At 34.8% G+C, this 21389-nt stretch overlaps 1 protein-coding gene and 1 pseudogene across 8 annotated transcripts in view; one reads left to right on the top strand and one right to left on the bottom strand.

Annotated features, from left to right (window-relative positions):
• Positions 1-894: 894 nt before the first annotated feature.
• Positions 895-21389, bottom strand: part of GABPA (GA binding protein transcription factor subunit alpha) — a 37489-nt gene continuing 16994 nt past the window's right edge. For all 8 annotated transcript variants that reach the window (XM_017028313.3, NM_002040.4, XM_047440738.1 and 5 more), the window contains 6 exons: positions 21121-21366; positions 15151-15345; positions 10990-11043; positions 9005-9145; positions 8568-8760; positions 895-4351 (listed from right to left, as the gene is read on the bottom strand). In XM_017028313.3, the coding sequence (XP_016883802.1) occupies positions 4123-4351; positions 8568-8760; positions 9005-9145; positions 10990-11043; positions 15151-15345; positions 21121-21366 (1058 nt within the window). In that variant the 3' untranslated portion in view covers positions 895-4122. The remainder of the gene's footprint in view (positions 4352-8567; positions 8761-9004; positions 9146-10989; positions 11044-15150; positions 15346-21120; positions 21367-21389) is intronic.
• Positions 9974-10716, top strand: LLPHP2 (LLPH pseudogene 2; annotated as a pseudogene).

Genomic DNA, 21389 nt, shown 5'->3' with positions numbered 1-21389 from the left:
TAACCATCTTTAATACGGTTTGGTATTGTTAAGCATGTTTATAGTTGTGTAACCATCTTGTTTTTCATCTTGCAAAACTGAAACTCTATGCCCATTAAACAGTAACTTCCCATTTCCCCCTCCCTGTACTAATTCAGTTTTTATTTTACAGATGTTTGTCTGTGACAAATTGGAAATAAGAAAGTGGTCCTTCACTACGGAAATTTTTAAAAGCAGTGTTCTAAAGTTGTCAGTTTATCAGTAAAAAGCATTTTAAACACATACTTGGCTTGTAAATTAAACTCTGAAGCTGTACACACAAAAAACTGAAGTCCTGGGAGAACAAACATACCTCACTAGCGTCCTGGCTGATGGTTTTTGATTGCTTCGAACTAGATACAATCACACTGTGTATTTTTAAAGCCATTTATTTCTAACCATAACTTCCTATTTAAGCATGTCAATCAAACTTTCATCATTGCTTCACCATGAAGGCAGGCATGAATCACTTTTTCCTAACCCTTTCCATTCTTCTATATTCTGATTCTGGCTGAAGCAACCTGCTGATAGCCAACATGAACAGGTGATTTTTTGTTTGTTAAAAAAAAAGGCTTTATGAAAGGTTTACAATTTAGCAATCATCAGCTTGCCTTCTGACAGCTTCATCTGTTACTATTCTAAAACAACTTGGCTTTGTAGATGGAATTTCATTAATTTCCTCAAAGAGATGAACCTACTAATTTTAGTTCAGTGAAATATGTTCTTCCCAAATTGACAGCTTTTAAGTTTAAAAATGCATCGGAATCCTATGTACAACGTATCATAAGTGGACTGTCAGATTACTATCCAACAAAATATCCTGGGGATTTAAGATTTTGTTTTCAGGAAAAAAAACTTTTAAGCAACACAGAAACATACTGTATAATAGTTTTATTTTTCTCATTTTACTATTTTTACATTTTATGCACAAATATTTATCTGCGTAAAAATAGAAAATAACTGTTTTATGTAAAATTACAAAAAAAATTAAAACCACAAAGAAATACATAATTGTTATTATGACAGTATAAGTGTCGTTGTCGTTATTTAAAGAGTAAAAATGTATGCAAAAGTCCTCCTCCCATTTACAAAAGATTGAGAATTTTGTTTTTCCTGGCAGCAAGTGAAATATTGAAGTATCAATATTTTTACACCCTTTAGATCTGAAGACATTAAGTTAGTCACAGATTTGTTTTGCAATTATGAATTTTAAAACATTTTTGTGCTATTTCAAGGATACACTAGTTCTTTCTTAAAGGCAGTAGCATAAAATGAATATGGAAAACAGCAGACCTCACAAAAATATTTGGTGGTACAATTCTTTTTGTATCATACTTGAATATCACCATTAATCAGGGGAGAAAACAACTAAACAATTTTTCCTAATAACATAGACTGATACAAAAATAACTGTGATCAGTCAATTTATCTGAAGATCAACCACACATAGCAATTCTGCCTCATTTGTTTTTCTGATGCCAACACAAATATTTAGACTTTAGGCTAGCAAGATATGTATGAAAGTTGGCTCAATAAAAACTTCACATGGAAAACAAATTTTAAAACAAAAATGAACATTTCTTTTACTTAAATTCTTGTACTTCTAAGGTACAAATGATGACCAATAATTTTATCTTTCTTCCTTTGAATATACTGTAAATTCTATGAAAAATTCATTTATAAAAACAAAGCAAAGAATAGCATAAATTTTATTTTCTTTCACAATGTTATATTTTAATAGAAGAAAAAAACTACCTTTCTGATAACTGTAACCTAAGTAAAACAAATATTTTACATATAATTTGAGGCAAAGTAATGAGTTTCTTGAATCAACTGGAGAAATTAGTCACATTACCTATGTCATGCATAAATGATGGTAAGAAGAAAAAAAAAGCATCTGATCATGTATGAGAACTGTCTCTGTTCAAATTATGAGAAATAAAATGAAAATTGCTAAAGGGAGAAAATGAATAAAATATGATTTAAAAAAAAACCATATGGGAATTGCATAGATGAGAAAAAAATTTTCATTCTAGGGATCTAAAAGTAATGTTTTTAGCTTTAAAAACATACACACACATATATAATTGAGACATGTCTATCATCTTGGCTAAAATTTTAATATATGTCTCCCCAAAAGCATTTTAAATATGAAAGCCAAGATTCTTAAGCTCTTGATGATATACCAGAAGGGTATACTTTATTATTTTTTTAAAACTACAAGCAACTTGTCAACTCTCTAGGCCGTAAGAGGATGGTGCAAAACCTTTCTTGCTGTCTATTTGTTACCTGACGTTAGAGCTTCTGTTTATTATTTCATATTGTTATTTTACTCAGATATTCTTAAAACCACAGTGCCCAAATTGTACTAATAATCTGTCCATATATTCTCTTTCAAAAAAGTAAAAATGGAAATACAAATCTTACTCTGCTCAGATATCAACTGCAGGAAGAGCTTAATAATATGAATGAATTGAGAACATGTTTTAGTAAAATTATGCATTAAGATTACCAGAGAAAGAGATCAAAGATCCCTCCCTCTCTCTCTTCTCTTCCTTGTCCTTAAGATCCCTGCCTCTTAGGATTCATTCCAAACCACTACCAGAATTGCTAACAATGCCATCTTGCCTGTATTATCATGCCTTTTTCTCCTAGTTAAGTCAAAAGCATTAACTGAGCTCTTAAGAAGCTTTTTAAGAGGACAGATTTAAAGAAAACAATGAAGGAGAAGGTGCATAAATATTTGAGAATCAACTTTCTCAAATCTGTAAGAGGATTAATAGCTATCTGCCAGTCTCATGTAATAATTCGTGCTTAATACCTTAAACAACAAAGAGAGAAAAGAAAGAAAAAGACATTTCTAGCCATTTTTGTTTAGTGTTCGCTTATGTAAGGAATGTCATATATGCAGGAATTAGTTAATTTGAATCTTAAAATGAGTTGTTTAATAATTTTTCTTCTGTATATCTTTATGCCTTCATATGTTTATAAAATGATCAACTGAATATGTATACAGCTATATGAATACACATATATAATATGGAAAAGGAAAACAAGTGGAAAAGTATTGTCTTAAAGAGAAGACTGCCTATAACAAAGGTCGTATTTTCCTTTTAAAACTATTTGCAAGTAATTTACTAATGCCTTGAAAGGTAAAGTACTACTGACTGATTTAAAGTCTTCATTTTATCAGAAACAAAGGAATATAAGCTGCTTTGCATAATAAACTGGCACTACAGGGTAATTTTTTAAAAAAGGAAGCCATAACAAACCAAAACAAACCTTTATTTTTGGGTTGAGGTATACCTTTTCAGTTTTTTAAATCTCTGACAGGAAAAACAGAGATCATTTTATAATTTTTATAACAGCTGGTTTATTAGAATTAAATGCCTCTCTCAAAATAATTTAAATTCTTGGTCTGACATGAGTAATCTATACAGAAAATCCTTAAAATTGGCTTGAGTTAATAAGCCAGATTTAAACCTGGATCTCCTCCTTCAGCACTGCTCTTTTGCCAGTCAACTTCTTACTGTCCTTTGCTTGCAAATATATAAATAACCTGATACTCTTAGTTTAGTAATTTATTAATATAAATTTATTCGGTATGAACATTTTAGCTCTGCTTGATTAGATGAAACAGGCACACATGCTTTAGCTGAGAAATTCCATTTTCTGGTTCTATGTAAAGCAACATCTAAAGCAGCAGAGAGGGGAAACAGTTATATTTTCAAAAATAGTTAAGCCAGACTGTTTCCTAGAGATACTTCATTTATTTTTCATTTTCAGATACTACTGGCTATTTTTGGTAGGGCTACACATTAATACTGACCAGTTTAGCCTTCCTGACTGTTAAACTATTCCACAATGAACCTGCCTTCACACTGCAGACATTGTGGAGATCCTTTAACATACACATATTCTAAAATATATGCTCAAAGTAAAAAGATCCAAATTCACAAGAGTATGAAATATTTATAAAAAAATCATGCATCAGACTGTACAGCCTAGAAATAAAAGAAGATTCAAATTCAGTAATAAAGGTAAGAGCTATACTTGCTCTAAACATTTTAAGAAAGACTTTGGAGTCTCAGAATGTCCTGGGGCTCAATTATCCTTTTCCGTTTGCAGAGAAGCAGTAGCCAGAGCTACTGCTGTGACTGGCTGGGCAATTCCATGGAGCTGCATCTTTGCAAGTTTCTTCTGTTCACATTCTGTGACCAAACGGTTCAACTCCGCTGCACTGTATCCAATAAGAGTCTTCAAGTCACAGACAAACTTGTACACAAATCTCTTGCCTTGAACTTTACAAATCATGTCCCCATCGTAATAATATCTTCAAAAAGAGAAAAAAAAATTAGAGACTTCAGAAAAAATGAGACTTCTTACAATAATTTACAGACTATTCCATAAGCAGAAGCCTAGTAGAGTACTGCATCCGCCACAATAGCAATTAATATTGAAGCTATGTAGAATATTTAATGCTACTATCAAATGAAACATCCCAACATTATTTACTAAAATTTCAATGCTCACTACTCCAAAACTCTATACATTAAACTTTCAAAACATATTTTCAACAATTAGAATAAAACATTGATTTAAAAATAATTATTAAACAAAACAAAAAACCTTGAGAGCAGTAGAAGAGCCTAAGAACAAGAGCTTTGGAGTCAGAAAGCCAAGATTCAAAACCTAACATTTTTGAGACCACAGGAGTCATATTTTCTCAAAGCTTTTATTCCTCATCTATAAAGTGAGGTTAACAGTGCTTATACCCTCATATCATTGTTGAGGATTAAAGGGATAATCTTTGTAAAGTGCTTAGTATACAATGACTGGCACACAGCCCTCTACAAAATATAAGCTATGTTAATAAAAATCGATAATATAAAAAAAATTAATACATATATTCCACTTCTTTTCTGTCTTGTAAAGAATCCTATATGATGAAGTCATGTCTTCATCTTTATTATTTCACTATGTAAACGCTTTCCAAATTTCAGATAAATTATCCAAGCCCAATAGGGAGCTTTAAGTCTAAGGAAAAGGTCTAAAAGAAACAGAGGATACAGAAAAACAGGTAAAGGACATTGCAAAGAGACAATGTTTCTAAACGTACACAAGCAGAGTTCCGGCAATCATTCTAGAAATCTAGTTTACTGCTGCATTCTATAGAGATGCAAATGGAGCTGGATTTATGTTTCCTTTGGAAAACAGACTTTATTTAAACACACACTATGTATTGCTAATTCCAACAACAGGAAAAAGAGGCAAGTCAAGCTCTTTCCACGACTGGCAGATTGCAAAGCCCTTATTTTAAAATTGCACTGCCCACTGACAAAGGGCTATTATAAAAGAAACAACTATTTGCAAAAGTACCAGATATAAACTATCACATTTAGCAGGATAAAAGTCACTTGGCTTAATCAAGAGTCTATTAATGAAAGGACTGACCTATATACAGGAAATTGTCATCTTTCCCTAATTCCAGAATAGCAAAAGAAAAATAGTTATGTTTGATTTCCCAGTAAGAGATATAACACATTGGGCAGTCTTGTAGTTTCCATTTATGTCAATTACATTAGTACAGAATTTGGATTTCAGCTCATAAACCAACAATTCCTTGCCATCCAGTTAAAAATGCTATAGGCATATCAATTGCTTTAAAAAATTTCTACATTAATATGTAAGACTATACGTGGGGAAAAAAAGGAAAATGGAAAAGGAAAGAGGTTTTATAATTCTAGGAGGAAAATGGAGTTGGCATAATCATATTTCTTGGTAAGAGGTGATAAAAAAGAATATACACACATAAATTTGAATTTTACTGAATACTTCTTTTGATCTAGTAGATGCATCACACAACTGTATATAGTAGCATTTATTCCACTTGTTGCCTCCCTAAAATGAAAGATACACAATACCTGTATTTCATGGATATGATTTCTTTTCTTCCCTCTTTTTTTTTAAACTTGTATTTTTTTAAACTTTTTAATTGCAAATATATCACACAAACAAAAGGACACAGAAGTGAACAGTTCAGTGATTTATTACAAAGTGAACATTCACTCACCTGTTAAGTATCACTCAGGTCAAGAAACAGAACACTGCCAGCATCTAGAATCCCCTTTATGTCCCCTCCCAATCACTCCCCAAATCCTGGCTCTAAAAGGTAAACACAAGCCTGTATCATGATAGTAATTTGACTGCTTTTTCTTTATATTTTTATCACCCAAACATGCATCCCTAAATACTGAAATTTAATTTTCCTGTTTTTTGAACTTTACTAAATAAATGTAATCATACAGAATTTGGTCTTTTGGGTCTGGATTCTGTCACTGAACATTATGTTTGTGAGGTTCACTGGTCATTGTTTGTAGCAGGAGCTTAGTTTTCAAGAATGCAAGGTATTCTTGTATGAATATACCATAAATGATTCATTCACTCTACTGTTGATAGATATCTGGTTGTTTCTGGGGTTTGGATGTTATAAATAATCTGCTATGAACATGTGTATGGGCATAGAAGTACATCTCTGTTTGATGTGTATGAAACAGTTGCTTAGGGGAGCAACTGTTACAATTTACATTCCTATCAAAAGGGTAGAAGCATTCCCATTGCTCCATATCCTCAACAGAGCTTAGTTCTGGCAATCTTTTAAATTGTAGCCACTCTAGGGGGTGAGTTGTACCATTTAATTATGGTTTTCAATTGCATTACTCTGAATACTAATGAGGCCGTACACCTTTGCATATATTCATTGGCCATTTGGATAATCTCTAGCCTGAGGTGTCTATTCAAGTCTCTTGCCCATTAAAAAATTGATTTGTAAGAATTGGTTAGATATTCTAGATACTTCTGTCCGACATGTGTGGCTCTCTTAATAAGGCTTTCAACGAACAGAAATTCCTAATTTAAATATAGTCCAGTTTATTGATCTTTCCCTTTAGAATTAGTCCTTTTGATTCTGTTTAAATGTCTCCCTACCACCAGAAGTTATGAAAGTATTTCTAGATCCTTTTCTATTTTACTTTTTACATGTAGAGCTACAAGCTACATGGAATTGATTTTTGGTACGGCATAAGCAAGAGGTCAACTTTTACTTTTCCCCAGAGATGGAGAGTAAATTATCCCAGCACTGATTATTGAAAAGCAGGTCGTTTCCTCATATGTTTTCTCCCCACTGCCATTTCTTTAAATCAAATGCTTACATATTCCTGGTTCTATTTTGGCTCCCTATTCTACTGTATGGCCTATTTGTCTTGAGAAAATAGCATAACTGTCTTATTACTGTAACTTTAGAGTCAGTCTCAATATCCTGTGGGACAAGTCTTTCCACTTTGCTAATCTTCAGGTGTCCTGACTACCATGGTACTTTATAGTCCCATGTAAATTTTACAATTATCTTCTCAAGTTCTATGAAAAACTTAGTTTGATTTTTCAAATTAAACTAAGTTGCTGCACTGAAACTTAGATCAATCTGGGGGGGAACTGACATCTTAATTATTAACTCTAACAATTTACCTGTAATTTTGAGGGGACTTGTATGTATACAATCTGTATCAACTCTCAAAAATGGCAGCTTTAATTATGATTATAAACGAAGAATCTTTAGACAGTTGGCAATGTGTTTGAGACTGAATGGTAAAGGATAAGCATTTTGAAAACTAAACATTTTAGTTACTCATGAACTCTGAGAAAAAAAGGGTCATTCAGGAAAAGAAAAATAATCACAGCCAACTATGTAATAATAGTTACATGGCCGTAATACTGTAACAATGAATACTCGCTGAACCAAAATTTCCATATAATTATATTGGGATACTGAGATGAAGGGATGGAAAGGGGAAGGGAGAGTGTGTGTGTGTGAGCTAAATTATAATCTTTCAGTGTGAAAATGGCCAAGTGAAACATGAAGAAGCAGTAAAAGCATGCTATTTAGAAAAACTCGTGAATTGCAGAACTATTTTACTATATTCAATCTCCCAAAAAATCAGACATAATTCCGTGATATTCTTATATATCCTTCTTCTCAGATACTTAAATGTACCTGTTGAATTTCCATCACTGTAGTAGGCATAATTTCTGATAGTAATTTCTGTCAAAAAACCTTATACTACTTACGGAGAGTTTGTATCAATGTAAAGATTGGATATCCAGATTTAGGCAGATTGTGTAGAAAATGGGTCAATATTCTGCTTGTAATTGTAAAAACAGAGGACAGTTTCTGCTTACTCATTAAAAACTAACACTCAATTCATCTATGCAAATAATAAAAACCTCAAAAATTAAACATTTTTTTTTGGGACAGAGTATTATAGCTTTCAAATCAGATAAAAACAAACAATCTTAGAGTAATTTTGTAAAAAAAAAACTGTACCTCGAAATTATTAAGATCTTTTTAAAAAGGTTTTTTAATATGTAAAGAAAAAAACATAAACAAGTTTTTAATATCATTACATAACAATGCTTATTACATCTAGAATAAGAAACTATTTTTTAGAAAGTTTCTATTTTTGATAACAGAAAAAAAAGTAATAAAGGCTTACCTTAATGCACGACTGAGTTTCTCATAGTTCATCGTAGGCTTATTTTTACGCTGTCCCCATTTCTGTGCAACCAGTTCAGGCTGATTTAGCTTAAATTCACCTTCATCACCAACCCAAGAAATGCAGTCTCGAGCGTCCTTATCAGTAAGAAGTTCTAGCAAAAACTGCCATAGTTGGATTTGGCCATTGTTTCCTAAATTGGTAAGAGGAACAAAGCATTAGCTATAGTGTTATAGATTAGCCCAAGGCAAAGACAACAAACTGGTCCCGTGGTTTAAATCTCAGCCATGGCAAAAACAATTTTTGTTTTTCTAGAAATGCTGTCTAAAAACTGCCAGAGGGATAGTCCAAATTCACATTTTTCATACAGTAAAATACAACAAAATATACCTAATTAGATAGATATATTTTATAAATACAAGAAAATACAAAAATACCTGTTCTGTTCCCAGGTGAGCTTCTATCTTCTCCTGAAATCCTCGGCGCTCTTTGTACTTTGGCTGCTTTCGCACTACTATTTATAACTTTAATGGTAGTAGGTGTAGCAGATTGCACTGATGCTGGAATAATTTGCACAGCTGCAAAGACAGACAAGGAGAAATTTTTTTTCTTCCAATACAAGCAGGAAAAAAAAAAAATTACTGAAAGACATTATCACTTTAACTAATGCCCTATGAATTACCCCCAAGAAAGTACTTCACTACAGAAAGCCTCAATCCACAATTTCAAACAAAATAACAAAAAAGTTCAGATGGTAAAGTATAACGCTTGCATTATAGTTTGTGCATCTTAGTAAGAGCTAGTATTCTTGTTTGGAAATAACTTAGTGATGCATACACATTAGACAAAGAGTATTTAAACATGTTTGTTCTTAAAACATTTGTTCATAAAAACGGTTTGTCAAATATATTGTACTAAATGTGGACAAATGAGAATTCACACCACCACTTTGAGAATCTGGCAATATCTGGAGTAAGGCTGAAAGGATAGAAACCCTATGACACGAACATCTCACACATGTTCTTACAAATATTCATTCAATGATGTTTTCACAGCATTTAAAAGATACAGCAGTGAAAATGAATGAAACAGCTGCAAGTATCAACATGAGTAATTCTCAAATGATAAAAAAGTTATAAAATAATATGTACAATGTATTATTTTACAAACAATGTTTAAACATGTGGAAAACAATGCTATACAGTGTTTACGATTACATAGTTGGTAAAAATATAAAATATGCAGACAGTAATAAACATAAAATTCAAGATAGTTCTCTGGTAGGAGAGAGGAAAATGAAACCTACAACAGGTATACTTGGTGTAAAAAATTTTATTTCTAATGATGTACACAGGTGTTAGTTATACTTTCTTTGTGTATCTCAAATTCCTCATTAAAAATTTTAGCCGGTTGGGATGATCTTGTGACGTGTGTGTTCGTACCTCAGGTAAAACATAGCTAAAAGCTTATGGCATAAGCGGAAAAGAAAGATGCATGCTGAAAAGGGGGGAAAAATGCCCCAAAAGAGCTCAGCAGGCTTAAAAGTATTCTCAAACTAGACAGTAATGTTTTAATGAAAGATGTTTAAGAGACAGCAACTGTGGTGGTACCCAAACCCAAACATGCCAAGAGAAAATGCAACATGAGGTAAAAGATGGAAAAGATGACATGAAAATGGAGATGGATATTAAGAGAAACAAAAAGACTCTTCTAGACTGTACTTCTAGCAAGTACAGTACCCAATATAGATGAATCAAAGGTAAAGAATAAAGCTGAAGGCAAAGCGAGAGAAAAGAAAGGGGAAAAGCCAAGCAAAAGTAGTGGAGGCGGCGAAGGGTTTGCCCTGGTAGACTCTTCAAGCCTTGGAAAATGCCACATGGGACAGATGATCCATTAGAATGTATACAACTGTATACTTTGATTGCAACTCCCACCAAATGAAAACTATTTGTTTTCCTATTTTAACTTGGCCTTTTTTCTTCATTTCAAACCCATTGTAACTCCTCAAGTTTGTTTTGGACACTTGAATATTTTCTCTGCTGTATCCAACCTATACTGATATTTCAATTGGATGCTACCTAATATCCAGTTATTATCAGGCATGAAAGTTCTGTCAGGTATGAATGTGGTTAGAATTGTTCTTACAACTTGGTAATTAACAGTCAGTAAAGATGAAACAAATGATGTCCTAACAAATTTTGGTGAACTGAGATACAAAGCAAGCTGTTATGTTAATCGTATCATTTAAAAACACATGAGTGGATCTTATAAAGTACTTGTGTCGAGCTTTCATTCCACAGAACAAAAGATATTTTGTGTGTAGAAAAAAAATTTTTTTAAATAATTTTCCTTTTTATTACCTTGCGGTATCAAATAAACATTTCTTATTAATAAAAGGGCAAATATAGGTACAAATACTCACGTTGATCAATTGTAACTATTTCATTCATCTGTTGTTCTTGACTTGCCAATACATCTGAAAAAAACAAAAATTTTTTGTTTTTATTTAAAACCAAAAATATAAAAACCCCAATCCAATAAAACTCAACTTAATAAACATGGTTCTTTTAAAAAGAACTCCACAATTAAAACCAAAACACTGAACTGAAACTTACTGGCATAAAAACCTTAAAAATATTTGATAGTCACTTTAAAAGGAAAAGATACCTTAAGAGAAATAACACAGGGAAAAGCTCCAATGTCTTTTAGTGTTCAGTAAAGTTCTGCAGAGAACTATGGTTTTCTAAATGTAAACATTTGTATTGAAATCCACATAAAGCCATGTAAAAATATGGAAATCTTCAAGATCAGATCAAAGATAAAATATACACCAAAATTAAATTATTTAGGTACGTATCTCCACCAAAAAGGCCTCCTTCCCATTATTTGTTATAACATCCACTTTTGACTAAAGCTGCTTAAGCTTTATAATGCTTCTACTTAAAGACAGCAAATTTTCAACACAATTGTAGCAGTCCTAAATGTCTCAATTAAACTAAATAATTTCACATTTAAAAATATAGTTCCCAAAATAAAAATACTATAAAGGTCCTGAGATAAGGCTTTACAGAACCATTCATTACTTATCTGTTGTTATTCCCTACTTAGATGTTATTCTTTACCTCTCACAAGAATTGCACATCCCAGTCTCTATTACTTCAGCCTACTTTGTGCCCATCACAAATTGCATGCCTCTCTCTTGAAATTGAAACTATACCCTCCAGCAATCATTCTGGGTACTGAGGCCTGGGCTCCCAAGAAGACTCCGCTAAGGGTGCCTTGCCAGGATCCAGTTCCAGACACGCAGAGCTGGAAAAGGTTGGGGAAGTAAAAAGAGGTCAGAATCCTATCAGATGGGAGCTTTGAGGGTCTGAAGACTGAGGACTTAAGAATTATATGGGACTGGCTTCAGACAGATCTGGATTTAGTTCTTAGCTCTTACTGACTATATGACTTTGGTAAAATTACCGACCTCTTTCAACATTAACTTCTTCAAGTTTAAATTAGACACCTATACTTACTGCCTCATGAGGTTATTGTGAGGATTAAAGAAACATGTTTTTAAAAAGCACAGTGCACAAAACAGTTACTTTTTCAGTCAACTGACAACCTCACTGTTTTATCCAGACTCCTAGTTCTGAGCATTCTCCTCCAGAACTGTGGTCTCTCTTGATAAAAAAAATACGCACTTTATGTTTGTAGTAAATTTTCCTCAGAATTTTATAAAAGTTCCTCAAAGAGGAACTATTTGAGACTAAAGGAACCTAGCCTCAAAAGAGGCAAACGAAAGCATCACCATCACACAGCACAGGCATAATCAACTTGTAAAATCACCTTCTAAGTCCTAATTCTCAGATTGGAGTTTGGTCTGTTTCCTGGAAACTCTCAAGACAGAAGGCAGACCACAGGGGGAAAAAAAAAAAGTTTTTGAAAGACTGGTCCAAGACCAATCTCTTCAAAGTACAGGCACTCTGAATATCACATTCCTCCCTGAAACCTCCAAATCCTTGCTACACACAAAGTAAGCAGTCTTGAGAGGCAAAGCCCTGGGGGATATGGAGCCATTTTATGAAGAAACATTAGACACTACAGGAATAAAACAATTATTTTTCCTAAATAAAACCCTTAGCAAACTGAGAACTTCATTTGCCTTTGGTGACAGAAGACAGAGATTCACACCGAGAAGGACATCATGGAACTGGTAGTACTGGGACATTTCCTAATTATCCTCCCATGTATAGTGGGACTTGGATGTAGTTTCAACATAGGGGGGACTGCAGGCAGGTGGTGGCTCAGGTGAATAATCTCATACAAATATCTGAAGAAGGAGCCCTACCTCTTCAGTACTGCTGCTTCTTGAGAGATCACTGAGGATGGATAATAGAGGCTGGGTTATTAACAGTTCTGTCCCAGAATCAGTGCCTTTCGCAGATAGGCTGCAGACTTCTCTCTACAGAAGGGACCAGAGTACTAACTACACTGAGCTCAAAAAACCCTATTCTGAGAAGTAAGACTTGTGAATTCTAGAAAGTCTGTTAGAAATACCCTTACACATCATCCTGCCCATCTCCCAATTCTGAACTGAGCACTAGATTTCCAAAGCAGATGGGATTTCCCTACCCCGGCAGAGTGAAGAACCATGGCTGGATCACCAAGAAATTCCGTGAGACACTCATCTAGGCTGTGGGACTTTGTTGCTTTAAAAGACAAAGCAATGGTTCCAGAGCAGAGCTTTTCTGAGGAAGACTCATTCAACTGCATGGAAATGGAAAGATACACAAGACACCTTTGACTTCTGTTCTGGGAAAAGCCTATGAATAAGCTTTAAAGTTTGAGAAGCAATAAGAGAACCAGAAAGAGACAGCCACAACAAACAGCTGACCTGGGAAAGACTGGAAAAAACGTGGATTTGGGAAAAATGAAACTACCATCTATGCACTATCTTTGTTGTGTTCTTGAGATTTCTTATAAGAAAGTGTTTCAATAAACATGACTCACATGTTTCACAATTCAGAATCTACCTTATTCATTTCAAAACCTCTGCAGGGAAGGAAATCTGTGAAACCAAGGACAAAGCTTCAACCAGGACATTCAACTTACTTATCTAGTAAGAATGGAAATTGGAAATAAATGCTGCAAATACAATGAATGTACTAAGTCTTTTAGTATCATAGATACTTAAAAAAAACATCTGGGAGAATCCTCACAAGAATAAAATTATAAACAATTAAGAAATGCCTCTCTCCAGAGCTCATTTCTTATTCACCAGCAGAGAAAGCACTTTCAACTCCTCATCTCAAGTGATCTGCCCACCCCAGACTCCCAAAGTGCTGGGGTTACAGGAGTGAGCCACTGCACCTGGCCAGAGAAAGCACCTTGAATGAAAACTGCAAGCATTGAATTACGGTGGAAAAATCCCTCCACCAGAGCTCTCTCCTTATTGGGTATATAATAAAACAAAATGCTATCATTAACATTTTCATCCATAACTGATACAAAAGCAAAGTCAGAGTATGTTGTAGTCATGTGTTCTGAAAAATATGTGGGTCTGGCTAGCATTTCTGATATGCAAAACTGTCAAGGAATGGGTTGCTTTCGGTGTCTTAACAGTGACTGAAATATAAGATGGATTAAAATTCAAGCAAAAATAATTTACATTTGTGCCTTGTTTTCTTGGACAGCCAAGTAGTTTCCAAACTTCTCTCTCTCTTTTTTTTCCAATTGAGACTCTTGCTCTGTCACCATGCTGGAGTGTAGTGGCGCAGTCTCAGCTCACTGCAACCTCCGCCTTTCAGGTTCAGGCTATCCTCTCGCCTCAACCTCCCAAGTAGGTAGGACTACAGACACGCACCACCTTGTCCGCCTATTTTTTGTATTTTTAGTGGAGATGGGGTTTCACCACGTTGGCCAGGCTGGTCTCGAACTTCTAACCTCAAGTGATCTGCCTGCCTCATCCAATTTCTTTACATGGTCACTTAATCATAATAATGTCTGAAGCCTTACAAGTTATAAGTGGAAAAACTTATAACCAATGGCTTCCAATGCCAAAAGGTGGCTGCATACACTTCCTTCCCTCTTAAGACTCTATTCAATTAATAGTAAAGACTTCAAAAAAGATTTAATCTCATCAATAATGAAGAGAATGGGTAGGAAGCCACCTGTAAACAAATGATCTCTTCCGTTTCTAGATGAGCAGTAAATGTAAGAGCTGATCAAACAGAAGGCAACAAATGGAATATATGAAGAGGGCTAAGTGTAGGGCACAGCATCTGATTTAAGAACTTGGATTCTAATGTTAGCCTGGGCTTGAATCCTGGCTCTGCCACTTCCTAGCTGTGACTTTATGGGGCTCTCAAAGCCTCACTTTCCTATCTAAAAAATAAGCAAAGTAATGACTTATGGTGTTACTATAGGAATTAAAGAACATATAGAGCTTTCAGCATAGCATTATACAGTAAATAAATGTTAATTATTATTGCTTATTACTTATCATTATCAATAAACAACTAAGATGAAAACAAAGTTACAAGGAAATAAAATTAAGCTTAAATTACAATGTAAAGAAATAACTGTAATTTCATACATTTTCGGAGAAGTTCCAGATGACTCCAGAGAATTTCTCCCCGAGGAACCCGCTGAAAAAAATCTTCTTGGTTGAGACTACATAATTCTCTCCCCGAAATGTTGAGTGTGGTGAGGTCTATATCGGTCATGCTGAATTCCTTCATTACCCAAACCACCCAATGCAGGACTTGGTCTGTGGACCACTGTATGGGATCTAGAAAGAAAAATATTCACTTTAGCCTAGTTCCATTTTAGATACTGTGTAAATTTACAGTTAACTTCTCAATACACACACATACACACAGATGTTTTCTTTCCCCAAGTATATGAGGTAAACTTACTATATGAAGCAAAAAAAAAAAAAAAAAAAAAAATTATGCTGTAATTTTTTCCTCAGCTCCTTTCCAATTTCTTAATCTAAATTTCTGATGCAGTCACTTGGTTCAACCTCAGCTGGAACTGTATCAAGAAAAACAAAATGCAAAACTGCTCTCCAGTGGGCCAAATGAAAGAATAAAATATGAGATTATTCTGGAGAGAATAAAGTAAATTATCCAAGTTTAAAAAAATTTGCAGTTGCATTGAAAAAAAATCAAAAGGGGATTCTAAGAAGCTAGCTTTATTCTCCAAACTATGAACCATATCCTTTTTCCTCCCTTTTCCTTCCTGTAAAAAGCTGGCTGCTCCTGCATTTACCCTTATGATGCATTTCCAATAAATAAATAAACATGGTAATTGCCTGTTTTACTCAGCTGTCCCCTCACAACACACTAAGAAATACAAGAAATGTGTCTTGTAAACCATTCTATCTTTAGAACCTAACAGTGCCTTGCTCATACACTTGTTTAATCTTAAAGAGTATATCCAAATAATTTTCCTTTTCCCTATCATTTACTACCTAATTGAATTCATAAATAAAAAAATATGGCCAATATCTATAAATATTACATTGCTGTATCACCCGCACCTAATAGAGCATTCTATCTGTGTAAGTTTAATACATATTAGCTAAATTAGTTTTGGTTCTGGTACTCCCACTTTAAGAAGATGATCTATTCAAATAATATTGGTTATATACCCAATAAATAAATGCTATTCAATAAGAAAAGTAGAAAAAAAATAACATTTAGGTATCGAGGGCAAATTATAGTGAAAATAAATCAAACATAAGAATTTTATAAAAGTTCTTCAAAGAGGCAAAGTGCTATTGAAACTGAAACTATTCCATTTGAGACTAAAGGAACAGAGGTGCCCTAGCCTCAAAAGGCAAAAGCAAGCATTCTAAGAATACAGGATTAATAGCCACAGAATATATATTTTAAAATTTTTCCATAAAGTTGTTAAGTGAGGATTCTAGGAAGATGGTGGCAAAGTTTTTTAATTTTTCTGAATTGTACACATAAACATAAAAAAGTGACTGGAGAACAAAACCAAAAACCCACGAACATTTACATAAAACCAGGTGACAAGATATCTTCATGGACCTCAAGATACAAGAGGGTAAAGACAAAGCAATAACAGCTATAAGACCTCCATGGTCTTAGCTTGTGTGCAGGAGAAAGCAAAGGGAAGCAAGGGAAGTGTGACCCACTCTGATCATAGGAAAACCTGAGCGCAGCCAAGAAGCATGCATTCAAAGTACAACAGGACAAGATGAAAGCAACGCTAAAAAGCAGTTTCGCCCAATCCAATAGCTGCAGTGTGTGTTAAGATTTAAAGGGCTGAAGCAATGTAGCACCTGGGTGTTTGTCAAACTGAGCCAAGAACCACTTTCAGGAGAATGGCCCACAGTAAGGAGAAACTGGCAGAGTGGAACTAGAAGTGAGCAGCAGAGGGACGCCAAGGAAAAGGAAAGAGGAGAAGGCCCAGGTAAAAGTCGACAAGAACTGAAAAAGAAAGTTGCCTTATCTGTGAGTACTATACTACTTGAAAACAACAGAAGCAGAGTTAAATAGAAAAGCTATCCTGAAACACACCTCTTTTAAAAGAAAAACAAAGTTAATTTCACATAAAAATTTAAAAATAAAAAAAACTCAGGGAAAAATATAATTTGTCTGATTTGTTTTCTCAAATATCAGGACTTCTGGTTTAACATAACTAATTGTCCACCCATGTTCTGCCTCCTTTCTCTAAGACTCTAGTAAAACAACAGTAAAGGAATTTTTAAAAGATGCAAAATCATAGGAACATGAGTACAAAGTGACAGGCATGGATGAAAGATTTAATCTAATGTTTTGAAGACAATAAGCAGAGTGGTAATCGATTTGGCATAGGAGGGGAAAACTATGACCTAAAATGTTTGCCAAGGAGGATGCCAGTAAGAAGTGAGAGAATTCCTGCCTGCAGAACCCCCTTCACTGGTTCAAGTCATGGTGGTTCTGAGTAGCAAGAGGCTTAAAGCTGAAAATAAGGAGACAGATTTAAAGTAGATGGTGTGGTTAGAACCTCCAGGGTCTCTCTTTCATTTGGGGGGCCAGTTAAATGAGTGCACCCCACACATGTGGACACCGGGAAAACATTTATTAATAGATGGGGAGAGACACGAACAGACACTGAGAGAACAATTCCCAGTAATAAAAGCCTATAAACTGAAGAGTGAGACCGTCTCCACCTTCTCTACCTCCTCCCTGCTCTACTTCCTTTTCCAGTTCCACAACACAGTATTCACATACACACCTACCCCAAATGCTCACCCCTATCTTCTACTGCTGACAGGTATCTGCAAAAAGATCTATAAATATTGACACGTTTGAAACTCTTTTCTTTGCCCTTTTTTTTTTTTTTTTTTTTTAGACAGTCTTGCTTTGCCACCCAGGCTGGAGTATAGTGGTGCCATCAAAGCTCTCTATAGCCTCAAGCTCCAGAGCTCAAGCAATTTTCCCAGCTTAGCCTCCTAGGATATTGGTGTATGCCACCATGCCCAGCTCTTTTTTCTATTTTTTGGAGACAGTCTGGCTATATAGCCCAGGCTGGTCTCAAACTCCTGGCCTCAAGAAACCCTCTCACCTCAGCCTCCCAACGTGCTGGGATTATAGGCATGAGCCAACACACCTGGCCTGAAATTCTTTTAATGAAATAGTCAATGCCTCGTTTTATCAGCATATAGTTATCAAATCCTTCAGAACTTCGCATTAATTAGCTTTAAAGTTATTTACTCTTATTTTTTTTCTTTCGAGATGGAGTCTCACTTTGTTGCCCAGGCTGGAGTGCACTGGTGCAATTTCGGCTCACTGCAACGTCCGCCTCCCAGGTTCAAGAGATTCTTGTGCCTCAGCCTCCCAAGTAGCTGGGATTACAGGCATGTACCACCACGCCCAGCTAATTTTTGTGTTTTTAGTAGAAACAGGTTTTACCATGTTAGCCAGGCTGGTCTCAAACTCCTGGCCTCAAGTGACCCACCTGCCTCAGCCTCCCAAAGTGCTGGGATTACAGGCATGAGCCACTGTGCCTGGCCTAAAGTGATTAATTCTTAAATATGAAAAGATGGGCAAAAATAATTAGATACTTGGGAAAGGTTAAAAACAACACAAACAAAAACCACAAGAAAAACAGAATCCACAAGAAACAGATATACCACGGTAAAGCTTTTTAAAAGTTAAAAAAAAATATATAATCAATATACTCAGAGAAGTAGGAGAAAACACGATATTGGCAATATAAGATCAGAATGCTACAGAAAGGAACAAACAAAAATGAAGAGCCCTTGTAAATTAAAAATCAGATAGGTTATATTAAAAACACAAGAAAATCTGGCAGAAAGTAGTGCAGATAGGTAAGATGAAAAATAAACAAGAAAAAAGATGCAGCAGATCAACTCAAGAGATTCAACAGGAGTTCCAGCAAAAAGAACACAGGTATTTATCAAAATAATGCAGTAAGAACATCCAGAACTGAAGGCTACAATTATCAAGATCAGGGCTGTCCAACAGAAATACAATGCAGACCATTATGTAATTTTAAATTTTCTAATAGTTACATTTAAAAAGTTGGTCAAATACATCTTAATAATGAATTTATTTTAACTTAATGTTCCAAATGTTATTTCAACTGGTAATTAATATAAAAAATTAGAAAAGATTTTATACTTTTTCTTTTAATGGGTATTTTTACATTTACAACCCATCTTAATTTTGACCAGAGACACTTCAAGTGCTGACGTGTGATTAGTGGCTACAGTACTGGGCAGCGGAGGGACAGACTGAAATTCTACATTAGCTGTCTGGTTCCATAGCTCTCTTTCAGTTCCATGGGTAAGCTCTCTCATTTACTGTGTATCTTTTAGGTTTGGTTTAAAGAAAGAAAAAAAATGTCCTAGGGAAAACAGTGGTTCTACAATACAGCCTTTCTGTCATCAGCCCTGCTCCCCAGGTACAACCTTGTCTCTAAAAATAAAAAATAAAAAAAGGACAAAAACCCGACAATACTGTTTCATTTACAAATACACTCAGGTCCCCGCCAACTCTTGGAAGATCAGTATTATTTATTTGTTACCCCAGCATTCTTCCTCATCTGCCCCCATTTCTAAGATATCTATTTCTTATAATTCTGTTTTGTCTCGCCAACTCTAGTTACTTCTGTCTAAATTTAAGAATAATCCTCTGATCATCAAATTTAATAGATATCAGTCAGCATTCTTTGACTTTCTCAGCAGCATCTGAGAGTCTTGACCATCCAAACTCTCCCCTCAATTTCAGTGACACTATACATATAAGTTATTACTTTCTTTCTGTCTCTTCAGTTATTTCTTGTCTCCCTTTTCTCCAACCCTAAATGTTTACAGGGTCAAGTGTATATGCCTTTAGTTGTGTGTTCTTTTCCATTTCTCGCTTTCCATCAGGGACTACGTAGACTTTTATAGCTTCAAATATAAATTCAGTGGGAATGAGTCTCATATAACATCTTTGTCTCCAGCCCAAATCTTATATAACTGAAACCATTTTCTGGCTAACCTCCAGCTGAATATAAACTTCCACATCAAAATCAAGTGCTATCCACCTTCTCTTGAAAAAAACATTTCCTATACCAGACTTCTCTACTTCCCCAACTGGGCTTTTGAAAGCATGCTCTTCATAGTGCACCATCTTAATTAAGCCCAGCATTTAACATGGTGCCTGGTGTACGGTAGTGTTCACTAAATATGTAATGATGATGGAACCAATTTTTATCAAGATTATTACTGTTTTAGTCACCAAGATGAAGCTTGAGAAGTTAGATCAATACTTGTATCTTCCCTCTCTACCCTCATAAAATCTGTCAATCTGCTCAGTCCTATCACTGTTTTCATCCACTTTTTCCTTGCTACTCCCAAAGAAATCATCTGGAGTCTGGGCTAATGTAGACATTATCATCCAGTCACAACTATAATAATATGCTCCTGTTTTCCCTTCACTTAGTCTCTACCTGTTCCAACTTATGCCATATATTGCCACCATATTCATTTTTCAATTATCATTTTCATCAATCAAAAACAGTTCTGTAATGCTACAGAGTAACTCCTTAACCACTCCATTTTCTCACTACTCATGCATACCCCCAGGTCTAAGCTTTGCACATAACATTTCCTGTCTTAAATGTCTTTCTCTGCCCAATGGTATCTTATTTATAATAAACTCTTTTCAGCTTTCCCTCAGGGCAACTATGATCTCTTTGAGATTCCAATAGCATACTTCTACAAGAGTTACTGGCAGTTTAAAAACATGTTACCTTTTATGGCAATCATCTCTTTTCATCTATCTTCTCTCTCTTCAACTACACTCTCAACACCCTAAGAGCAGAAATTTTTTAGACTTCTTTGTATTTCCTGCACGCAGGACAGAATTTGTCCACCACATGAGCTTAAATGTGCGTTACAATTAAAAGAGAGATACAGAAAATCAACATTCATCCTAATAACTCTACATGTAAAATAGATTATAACTTACCCTAGTGTCTTCTATGTCAAGCTTAATTCCTATTATTCTACCCAATATAGAATTATGCATTTTATTACCATAGGGTATCCCAAGGCGTTCTTGTTCTTTCCTATAGCCTTCCAGTGCAGCAGCCCATCTTGTCACTTGTTCTGAAGTTTCATCTGAAATGGTTGTGATGTGTTTTGTGCCATCAAGAGTTATCACTTGAGCTTCTTCAACAAGATGTGCTTCTGATTCAGCATGGTGGGCATCTGGATCAATAACAACCTCAACAGTGTCCGCAGGTTTAACAATTTCAAGGATGTTTAACTTTGGTTCAATTCCTGAACAGTGGATAAAAAAAAAT

The sequence above is a fragment of the Homo sapiens genome, chromosome 21, assembly GCF_000001405.40.
Source record: "Homo sapiens chromosome 21, GRCh38.p14 Primary Assembly".
NCBI lineage: Eukaryota > Metazoa > Chordata > Mammalia > Primates > Hominidae > Homo > Homo sapiens.
The sequence above is the reverse complement of the archived record's forward strand: the minus strand, read 5'-3'. Positions and strand labels throughout refer to the sequence as shown.